At 36.0% G+C, this 12,287-nt stretch overlaps 1 long non-coding RNA gene across 17 annotated transcripts in view; it reads left to right on the top strand.

Moving 5' to 3' along the window:
* The window catches only part of LINC02377 (long intergenic non-protein coding RNA 2377), a 338,568-nt gene that overhangs the window by 202,624 nt on the left and 123,657 nt on the right, over positions 1–12,287 (top strand). For 13 of the 17 annotated variants that reach the window (NR_183935.1, NR_183927.1, NR_183924.1 and 10 more), the window contains one exon: positions 8,890–9,442. The exons of the other annotated variants lie outside the window; for them this stretch is intronic. This is a non-coding gene — a long non-coding RNA (long intergenic non-protein coding RNA 2377). Of the gene's footprint in view, positions 1–8,889; positions 9,443–12,287 lie in introns of those variants that run through there. 17 annotated transcript variants of the gene reach the window in all.

Below are 12,287 nucleotides of genomic sequence, written 5' to 3' on the forward strand. Positions count from 1 at the left end.
ATGGCCCTTAAAGTGGTAATTAAGGTTAAACTAGTTATGCCGATGGAGACCTAATTTAATAGGACTAGTTTCTTTATAAGAAGATAAAAGGATATCAGAGAGTTTTCTGTGCTTGCACACACGAAAATCCCGCATGAAGACACGATGAGAAAATGGTCATGTACAGGCAGGCCACGAAAAGACGCCTTACTGGAAATGAACTCTGAGGGCACCTTGACCTTGGACATCTAGCTTCCAGACTATGAGAAAACAAATTTCTGTTGTTTAAGCCACCCAGACTGTAGTATTTTGTTATTGTAGCCCAAACAAAGTAATAAAGATTACATTTCATTAAACATAATCTGAAAGTTGACTCCAAGATCTAGTAAGTAAAAGTGTTGCAGTCAAATCAACTCAGGTGTGAAAATCTCTGACATTAGTTTTTAACATAGCCCTAACAGGAAGCTTAATATTTTGTATTTCTATGTAATTCCCCCTTTATTTTAGCAAAAGCTCTCATTTTCATATTACGAAATATAAATTAGCCAAATTAAGTTAAATTCAGAGATTTCCAGTCCTTAATGTGTTCACTTAGCTTGTACTATGGAACTTATCCAGGTTCCCATAAACAAGGCTGCAATCTGCACCAGTATCCACTAGGGCCATCACCCACTGTACATTGGTGAGGGATCGGTGGATTGCTAATTCCACATCTGGCCTCTGGTCATCCAATGTCCCCCCAAGACAGGCACCTCTTCCAGTTCCCTACTCAAACAGAAAAAGCTCTACATTTCCACCTGGCTGCAGCAAGCAGTCTTTGAGCTGAAATGCCCAGGGGGTACTGGGTTGCGCAGCAATGTCGTTCTTTCCCTTGGGCATTTTCTGGAATTGCAGCTCTGGAAACAACTGTCTCCACAAAATTAAGAGTACTTCATTAGGCTGCTTATCAATTTTCTGTCAGTCAACCCTGGCCAAAATCAAATCTATCCACATCTGTAAGCATGTCACTTGTTGGGGCCCCTTTTTCTCCCATGGGGGCACACTTGTGGATGGGGTATCATCCCCTTCTTTATGGTGTGGACCCCTTGGTCCCATTCATGGCCTTCTGCTTCCCAGAGAGCCTCCACAGCAGTGGTTACTTCACATATGTGGCACCCTATGCATGAGTAGGACAGCATCTAGTGAGCCAAAGGCACTCGGGCACAGAACCCAACACAAGATTCCTCGTGTGGGAGGTGAAATGTTCATCATCTGGCCTCCTGGTGTTCAGATCAATCATAGCCTGCCTCATACCCATCTCCCGGATGGCTTGCACCAAATCTGCATAAAACTGCCATTTACTCATGGTTGCGGGTGTTTCACCAGCGTTGTTCCACACAATCCATATGGCTGCCCATAGCCACTCATTCAGGGTGTGGTCACCTTTCCTTTGTGTCAACCGCCTGCTCACCTGCAATTGCTGATGGAGAGAGGGGTGAGTTGTGATAGAGGCCAGCTTTTCCATTTCAGAGGCAGGACAAGAGATATTTATCCGCTCCCTCATCCCACAAAAGAAGCATCCAGGTGGGCAGAAGTTCCCCTGTATGCTGGCAGCACTGCTTGCCTAATTCCTGCAACTCAGTTGGGGCATAGGAAGTATATGAAGTATGTTGTATTACAGTGTGGGGGTCCCTGAGCCTGCCCTTGGGGCCACAACAGCTATTGATGATCTACCTTCTGATGGACCATTGGGTGAGCCCGCAATGGGGGTTCATCCTTTTCAGTATTAGACCAAACACAGGTCTCCAGCCAAGAGGACGGACCCAAACCTGCATTCACAGCAGCCTCTAATTCCTTTTCTGAACTATGTTGCCAGGCCTCCAGGCACCCTATCTGTGCCTGGAGAGCCCTTACCATAACTGCCTCCCTCAGGGACTGTGTGTGTACTTCTCATAGTGCAGTGAAAAATGCCCATCCAACTCTGCTGGCAAAAGCTCACTCCTTCTCAGTGTTCTGTGCTTCCAACTGCTTCAGTGCCTTCTCCATGCTCACAAGGGACCCATCTATCACCCCCAGGTTTCCATCGGAGCCCATCTGAGCAGCAGACCTGCCATGGGGTACCATAACCCATGTTGTGGCCACATGGCTGACCCGGAATCAGCAGGGACTGAAGGCTCACGCATCTCGGGATCTTGTTTGTAACGCCAATTGTCAGGTTCTAACTGAGGTCCGAGGGGAGTGGGTGGGTGAGTGGCAGGTAGCTGGAAAAACACTCAAGGAATCGTAGACAGTTTTCACATGGCTTTACTCTCTCTCTGGGTGCAAGCAAGCCTGTGCATGAGCTGTGGGCATGAGTGAGCCATATGTACAGCGTTGCCGGGGTAATTATACCTTTTCCAGATAATAGTGGCTCTGAGCCAAGCAGGAACTCATGTGGGTGATCACCTAATGGGCCTCATGTGGCGTGGTTACATAATCTGTGGAGTTGTGCACCTGCGCTCTAAACCCACTGAGTCATGCTGTGGTGGAAGGCTGCCTTGGCCTACTCCTGACTAAAGTGCAGTTGTTTCCCTTACACCCCTTTTCTTTGATTTCTGCTTCACCAACCTGCCCTTGGAAGCAGAAAATGTAAAACATCCTTGATTATGAATGAACATAAAAATAACATTAGGCTTCAGGTAATTATTTATAAGTTTTTATACATGGTGGAGGTATGGACTTTGGCTAGAATCTTACTCTGCCTGTATATTTAATTTGCTATTTTTCATCATGATTTTTGTGGAATTTTTTTTTGCAGTCATCATATACATATAATTTGAAAAATGTCTAAATCTTATAATGGTAGAAAATAGGATGAGTTTCTACCACAAAAGTCATAATTTGACACTAATATTTGAGACTTTATTATATATAAGGACAATTACATAAACACACGTGTAAAATTTATTCAATTTAAGCTTTGTAATCTTCATTTTACACAAAGGGTTACAGTAGTTTAAAAAAGTGAAACGAGTTGCCCATATTTACACAGCTATAAAGACAAAGCTCATCCTCTTTCTATTGTATAATATTTCCTTCAGTCTTTCCCACATCTTAAAATATACCTACTACACTTTATCATATGTATGCTGTCTTAATAATTCCCTATGACCATTTATTAAATAACAGAGCAGTTTGGTTAAAAATTCCACTCTTTCTACTACAACACAATTGGCCCTATCTGATATCAACCTCATATAGATTTTATCCCAATGAGTATTCTGTCTTCAGTCTAAGCTTCAACCTAAAGAAAATACTAACATTTATTTAATAATTTTGCACTGAAAAAATCAAAACCTGAAGAAAATGTGCTGTTATGAGGTAATTAAAAATATTAACCCTTGAATTTTTAAAATTATTATAAACATTTCCATACTCTTCAGAAGACTACTCAAAAGAAAAAATTGTGCTTGACTTTGTATGTGCAAAAAAGTTACATAATACTCTTGTTATGGACCCAATTGTGTCTACTTCCAAATTTATATGTTGAAGTCCTGATTGCCAGTAATTAGAATATGAATGCATTTAGAGACAGAGTTTTTAAAGAAGTAAATAAATTAAAAGAAGTTGTTAGGGTGGGTCCTAATCCAGTATGACTGATATCCTTATAAGAAGAGGAGTTTAGGACACAGACACATATACAGAAGACACAGAAAGAAGAAGCCTATCTATATAAGCCAAAGAGATAACCCTCAGAAAAACCAACTCGACTAAAACCTTGATCTTGGGATCTATCCTCCAGAATTGTGAGAACATAAGTATCTTTTGTTTCAGCTACCTAACATTTGCTCAACTCAACTTACCTCTCATCTTTTATGTACCAAAACAAAACACCTGAATTCAAAGAACACACTAGTATGGCTATTTAATTTTGATAAGTAACACCACCTGATTTTTTGGAACCCAAATTAATTACCTTGGAATAGACTAGGCCAGTATGTCATCTGTTTATGAGCTCATCTATATCAAGTAGACTCTTGCTAGAAATGCAGAATCTCAATTCTCATCCCAGGCATAATGAATCAGAATCTAGATTTTAAAAAATTCCAGAGTTATTTATATTTATACGAAAATTTAGGAATCCTTGCTCTAGGCTGGGTTAATGCTGACTTTGCAGACTCATGGATTACAAAACACTGTAACCCAGTTGAACTGTTATGGATATGCTTACTTGATGGAGGTAACTAATATTATTTTTGTTATTAGTACTAAGAGTTTTAGGAGATTCATTTGTGATTATATCTGCCTTATAGTTTAGTTACCTGGTACTGCAGTGGGAATCAAGAGAACAGAGAATCTCAAAACCACAGAGCCTATTCCCAAAGAACCTATGTGAGCACATGACTCTGTCCATGATTTATATCTGGGTGGCCATTAAAATTATTATTCTACCAGAGATACTTTTAAAAGTGAAAATAGGGCTGTATGCTACTTGAATAGGATGCTGGGTGAACAGATGCAAACTGTAACTCAATGACAAATCAGCTCCTATGGACACACTCGACACATTCAAATTATGGCCATTGAAAGACATGTGGATATCTCCAGATATAGGTGACCAGATGGATTATTGTTGGAGAGGAATATCAGAAGCCTGAAAGACTTAGGAATTTCATAAGAATGGGTCATTAATTTACCAGCTTATGTCTTCTCTTATAATACCTAACTTGATAACAATGAGACTCTACAACTTTTGTATATTCTTTATGCTATGTTATTGCTATTTTAAAGTACTTACATCCTATGCAAGGCTTATTATGGAGGTGTATTGAGAGTCATAACTAGTTGATATATTCATTTTGTATATATCAATAAAGAAGGCTGTAATTTTTCAAATAAATTTTCTGGAACATAAATGTCTTCATTTTCCTATTTGAAGATCAGTAGCTCTTTTTCTGCCATTACAAGTGAGTGGAAGGTTGTAATAATAATTAAACTGTATATTAGAAAGTCAGATAATGATTGACTGTTCTTGAATATAAAGTAGAAATTACTGCTCTGAGATATAATAAAGTACTGATGACATCAATAGCAATAAAGAAGAATACATCCAATTTTACAGGCTGTGGTTGTCTGTAGCACAATCAGTCCTGTGGATGTGGTTTTGGGCACAGCTCTTGGTTGTTTAATGAACATCCATCTTTTTTCCTTTTTCTGATTATGCAAAGTTCAGTTATATTTGGGTTGAAAATGTGCTCAGCCAAAAATAAAATAAAAAAGCAAACAACCAAAAAGACAAAAAATATTTTTCTCAGCCTCCTTAAAAATGGTGGTTTTAAAATCAACCACATTTGACCAAAGTATATGGAGCAGTTACTGAGAGGGCCTTCCAATGAATTGTATCAAGGCAGTCACTCAGCTGCCGTGTGCCTTTTGCCTTCCTTCCCAATCTCCTTCTTTCTAACTAGAATTAGGCATAGTTCTAACCAACAGAATGTGAGCCCAGATGAGGCATGCCACATCTGTGTCTAAAGCTGAAGATGACAAGTCTAAGAAGAAAGATCCCATCCTCTGGGTCACCCGTTGAGTGAGAGTCATCCAAAAATCTCATATTATTGTTCTGATAAATGATACTTTTACTTGTATCATATTTCAGCCATGATCTATTTTTTGCCATCCTGCTACAGCGGCTAACAGAACCTTTAGGAAACGCGCTAAGAATGGGACAGCAGAAAGAGAAACTTCGGTTTCTTATGATATTATAAAGCCATCACACCTTCGAGGAAAAATATATATATAGCCTAATTTGTTCAAATAATGTTTTTTCTGCTCTCTGCAACTCACAGCTAACAGAAATTTCTATCTAATAAAGTCTATACACTCATAATAAAGCAGTCAAATAAAAATTGTCCTATAACGATTGGCTTCTTTCTATGTATTTACTATGGTCTTCTTGAAAATAGAAAGCAACAATATTTCTATATAGGAAGTGACTAATCACTAAAAATTTGTTTGAAACTTCAGTTGTTTAGATGTATTTTTTGAAAGGAACAAATTTAATGCATATAGACCTGCCACAAGTATGTATTTTTTATTTTATTTATTTACTTAATCTATGCAACCTGTATTTCGGTTCTCTAAGAGATTAAAAAAGCAAAGCAGCCCCAAAGTATATTAAACAAATATACTTTGTTTAATATACAAAGCAGCCCCAAAGTATATAAAACAAAGCAGTAAAGTATATTAATATTTTTATATTTCTGGCTGTATTTCCCTTTAAATAAATAGATAATCCAAAATCAAAAGCAGTAAAAAGAGATGTATTTCTAAATGCATGGAAAAGCCCAATTTTAATGTATTATGCTTTATCCAGTCTCCCCACCTCCCACTCACAGTAAGAAACCTGATTTATTTGAACCACCAAGAGGTACAGTGTTTGGGTAACTATTTTTTGTTCTGTATATTAGATTTGAGGGTGAAAACTTTGGAACAACCCAAAACGCAAATTTTTCTTAGCTTTCCATCTCTCCATAACCTTTTACTTACGTGCAGAAGTGAGTTTTTGGAGTGTTAACACTGCTTCAGATGGATATCTCAATAAAATTAAAACTAACATAAAAGTAAACCAAGTGGTAAAAGGAATATTGACTTTCTCTTTATTGCAGATTTAACAATATGAAAGATAGTAAAATATAATTTTATGTTAGCTAATAATAAAAATACGTGTTCTACAACATTGTATATTTATGGCATACTTTCCATTTCTGTATTTAATTTCTGAATGTGAGAACCAATAACACGTTTTCTTCATTAGTTGTGTATTTCCTGGTGAAAGTAACATTTATACATCATTGAAATATTAGCAACTTCTTTTTGCAAATCATTACCTGTAACCAAGCACATACATATATATAAATACATTGTAATCACTAAATAAGAAACTGAGATAAAATCCAGTTCTAGAAATGGTCAGCTATGTTCATAAAGTCTATGTTTAGATATACAGTCAAAGCACAGGCTAATGATCTTATCTACATTTCTAAAGAAGGTAATAGTTTCTTATGTTTTTACTTAACTTGTATTAGATAATCCATTTTGTGTATGGTTTTCTCTTAGCTATTACTCTGAGGTTGTTTCTTTTTGGTTGAAGGGGAAGACATATTTTTCCACACTTTCTTGATTATTTGGTTTTTCCTCCAGTTAAACTACATCATATATATAAAAAACATTATTATTGAAGTGAACTACAATTTTAACATTTAATATGGAGAACTGCTCTCAGTTAAAGATCAGTTAGCTCTTCCTAGAAAGTATTGATCTTTCGTTTAACCTTATCAAAGCAATTTAGGCTTAAGAAGAGGAAACAGGCTTATAAAACAAAGATTTTGATAGTACCATAAACTCTGTGTACTGCATATTTTAAAATTTGAAGTGCAATTTAAGAACTGTTGCCCTAGGTTTATAATAAATACAATTAAAGATGTAATTATGAAGAAAAAAACTCATGTTTTTACTTCTATGTATGTAATTTGGCTCTATTACTCACACTGTTTGCTGTACATCATCTGTCATAATCCAAATAACTTTGGTTTTAAACAATAGTAAATATTAGATTTTTAAATATTATTTTCCTGTTTGTCAATTTTATTTTAATAAAAGGCTATATTTCTAAGAAGTAAGGGTCAGTCTTTAATCAAATGAACACATAAATATTTGTCATTCTTTTTTAAATTTATTTTTATTTATTTATTTATTTTTTATTATTATACTTTAAGTCCTGAGATACATGTGTAGAACGTGCAGGTTTGTTACATAGGTAGGTATACATGTGCCGTGGTGGTTTGCTGCACGCATCAACCCGTCATCTACCTTAGGTATTTCTCTTAATGCTATCCATGTTTGCTCAGTGGCTTTAATAGGAGACCATGGCTGGGTGCCAAGGCTCATGTCTACATGTCTGTAATCCGAGAATTGTGGGAGGCCTAACCAGGGGGATTGCTTAAGCCTGTGAGTTCAAGGCCAGCCTGAGAAACATAGCAAGACCCAATCTCTACAAAAATAAAAAATTAATTGGGCATGTTGATATGCACCTGTAGCTCCATCTACACAGGAGGGGGAGGTAGGATGATCACTTGAGCCCAGGATTTTGAAGTTGCAGTGAGCTATGATTGCACCACTGTGTCCCAGCCTGGGTGACAGAGTGAGATCCTATCTTAAAAAAAAAAAAAAAAAGAGAGAGAAAAAGAAAAAAATAAGAGACCATGCTTTAGAAATAGTTCATTAACCAGTGACTTTATTAGCAGCCTCCACAGTTGTTGCCAAAGAGAAGGTTCCACAGTCCCTATCAATTTATCAATATGTGGAGTTTCTTTGATGGGTAGTTGAGGAAACCCATCCATGTTATAATTAAACTACCTAGTACCTCCCTCTTCTCTATTAAACAAAATCAATATCTATTTTCAAGAAATGTCTTAAAATTAATTTGTGCCAAAATGTGATTATTGGTTTACATATTTGTTAAAGATCTAAAGAAGCTGGGTGTCATTTCATTTGACTTTGACTGAAATTAGAGGCCATATGAATTAAAAGTAGTGTCAGTTGCTAACCTGTACTCGAGTGATAAGTGAATTTATCAGCTAGAGTACTGTGTTCACATATATATATATATATTTCCAGCTAGAGTACAGTGTTCATATATATATATATATATATATATATATATATATATATATATATATTTTTTTTTTTTTTTTTTTTTTTTTTTTTTTTTTTTTTCTTGTTAGAAGGAGTCTTGCTCTGTCGCCCAGACTGGAGTGCAGTGGTGTGATTTCGGCTCATTGCAACCTCCACCTCCAGGTTCAAACAATTCTTGTGCCTCAGCCTCCGAATTAGCTGGGATTACAGAGGCACACCACCATGCCCAACTAATTTTTGTGTTTTTTGCATTTACAGGGTTTCATCATTTTTGGCCATGCTGGCCTTGAACGCCTAACCTCAAATGATCCACCTGCCTTGGCCTCCTGAAGTTCTGGGAGTTATAGGCATGAGTCACCATGCCTGGCACCACATAAAATTATTTTGTCATTAACATTACATTTTAAAATACAAACGCTGTTTTCCATATTACTCAGGTCAGATCTTTTACCCCACTTCTCTCAGTGAGATTGCATTATTTATTTCCATCTCTATAATCTACTGTTCATCCATCTATCTATCCATCCCTCAATTTAGTTTTTTCACTACATTCTGCATTTGATTCTTTTGAGGGTGTATGCTTGTGTTTGTGCGTGGAAGTGGGGGTGTGTGTGTGTGTGTGTGTTCAAAAAGGTCTACAGTTTCCTTTTTCTGTAATATCTGTGTCTGCTGTTGGTATTAGGGTAATGCTGAACTCATAGAGTATGTGAAAAGTTTTCTACATTCTTTGATTTTTCTGAAAGAAATTGTGCAGAATTCATATTATTTCTTTCTTAAATGCTCAAGTGTTTATTAAAATTTACCAGTAAAATATTATGACCCTAGGGTTTTCTTTTTTGGAAGGTGTTTAACTAAAATTTCAATGTATTTGATAAATGTAGGACTATTAAAATTATCTATTTTTCCTTGAGTTGGTTTGGTAGTTTCTGTCTGTCAAGGAATTGGTCTGTTTTATCTAAGTTGCCAAATGTATTGGCATAATTACCTTATTGATATTTGTCAGCTTCTTTCACTCCTTATATTGACATTTTATTCTCTACTCTTTTCTTTATCAGCATGACAAAAGGTTTACCAAATACATTGATATTTTCAGATAATTGCCTTTTTTCATTTCATTTATTGTTGCTATTTCTACTTTTATTTCTACTCTTATACTTAGTATTTCCTCATTCAATTTGTTTTGTATTTAATTTGCCACTTCTTATGGAGGACATTTAGATTGCTAGATTTTAGTTAGGTCATGCTTTTGTTCTCAGCAGGCCTTATGATAGAAATTTTTCTCTTTTCTGCTTTAGTCACATCCATACATTTTTATATATTGTATTTTCACTTACATTCATTTGAACATATTTTAAATATATCTGAGACTTATTTTTTAACACGTGAGTTATGTAAATGTATATTATTTTTCATATCTGGAGATTTTTCAGGTATCTTTTTTATTCTAGTATAACTGTTTTCTGGCTTACAAGCATACTTTGCATGATTTTTAATCTTTGAAATTTGTTAAGAGTTATTTTATGGTATAAAATATGATCTACCATGATTAGTCTTTCTTGTGGATTTGCAAATAATATGTATCTGCTATTGAGTGGCCTTTTCTATAAATATCAATTTGACCAAGTTGTATGATAGAGCTGATGGTTCAGATCATCTATAACCATCTATAATACCACTGACATGCTACCTACTTACTCTACCAGTTACTGAGAGAAGAGTGTTGAAGTCTCCAACTATAGTTTTAGATATCTCTATTTCTTTTACTTTTTTTTTCCAATGTGCCAATATTTTTTCTTGTGTATTTTGAAATTCATATTAGGTGGATACACACTTGAGATTATTACACTTTCTGTAGCATTGGCGCTTTGTCATTATTTAATTTCCCACTTAGCTATGTTCCGCATGGTTAGTGTCTGCATGTTATACAATCCATCACTTTACTTTTAATCTATCTATGTCAGTATCTAAAATGGGATGCTTGCAGTCACCATTATGTTGGGTCTTGCTTTGTTTCTTTAATCAAATCTGATAATCTATGTTTACTTTCAACTAGTAAGTTTAGACCATTTCCATTTAAAGTGATTATCCACCTGTTTATATTAAAATCTACCATCTTCCCTGCTGTCTTACACTTGTTTTATGTTTTCTCTTTCTCTTCTTTTTCTGAATTGAATTATGTCTTTTTATGATTCCTTTTCTCTTTTTTAAAAATTTTTTTTATTTTTTTTTTGAGATGGAGTCTCACTCTGTCACCCAGGCTGGAGTGCAGTGGCATGATCTTGGCTCACTGCAACCTCTGCCTCCCGGGAAGCCATTCTCCAGCCTCAGCCTTCCAAGTACCTGGAATTACAGGTGTCCACCACCATGCCTGGCTAACTTTTTTATTTTTAGTAGAGACGGAGTTTCACCATGTTGGCCAGGCTGGTCTCAAACTCCTGACCTCAGGTAATACATCCGCCTCAGCCTCCCAAAGTGCTGGGATTACGGGCATGATCCACTGCCCCCTGGCCTCTATTTTTTTTTATAGTAGTTTTCATAGACTCTAAAAAGTACGTTTTTAATATAATACAACTCTACCTTTAATTATTATCCCACTGCTGAAGCAGATAGCATATGCCCTATTACTCCATCCCATTCCTTGCTCTATTTTTTCATCCATTTCATTTTCATATGGGATATAAACTTAAATTTTAGAGCACTTACAATGATAATAAAATCTTTTTATAAATTATTCTATTTCTGATGTTCTTAATTTGTTTGTGGGTAGAACCATGTTTCTGAATATACTATATTCTTCCTACAGAAATAATTTTCTTTGACATTCCTTATAGGTTGGTCTTCTAACAATTAATTTTCTCAGTTTTTATGCATCTTAGAATGTCATTATTTCTTTAAGTTTTTTTTTTTTTTTTTTTGAGACAGAGTCTCTGTCGCCCAGGCTGGAGTGCGGTGGCATGATCTCAGCTCACCGCAAGCTCCGCCTCCCGGGTTCACACCATTCTCCTGCCCCAGCCTCCCGAATAGCTGGGACTACAGGTGCCCGCCACCAAGCCCGGCTAATTTTTTTTTTTTTGTATTTTTAGTAGAGACAGGGTTTCACCATGTTAGCCAGGATGGTCTCGATCTTCTGACCTTCCGATCTGCCCGCCTCGGCCTCCCAAAGTGCTGGGATTACAGTATTTCTTTAAGATTTTTAAGTCAGCTTTATTGAATTATAATTTAATACTTTACATTGAACCCTTTGAAGTATACAATGAAATAATTTTGTATTATACATATACAGTTATGCAATCATCACCTTAGATTATTTTTGGAACACTTTGTCACCCCAAAATGAAATGCCATGCCCTTTAGCAGTCATCTTCTATTCCCCAATTCCTAGGTAACCACTAAGCTCCTTTCCATCTCTGTAGATTTTTCTATTATGGATATTTCATATAAATAGAATCATACATTACATATTTTTTGTGACTGTACTGTATTGTATGTATTGGATACACATGACACACATACATACACATTTATAACACCACACACCTAGAGTTTAAAATGACCTAAATTTCAATCTCACAGCTTCTATTGGTCACAGCTTAATTAGGTTCTGTGCTCACGATCTTGCTGTGCTGTAATAGAGGTGTTGGCCAGGATGCATTCTC

Source organism: Homo sapiens, chromosome 4 (genome assembly GCF_000001405.40).
Source record: "Homo sapiens chromosome 4, GRCh38.p14 Primary Assembly".
Taxonomy (NCBI): domain Eukaryota; kingdom Metazoa; phylum Chordata; class Mammalia; order Primates; family Hominidae; genus Homo; species Homo sapiens.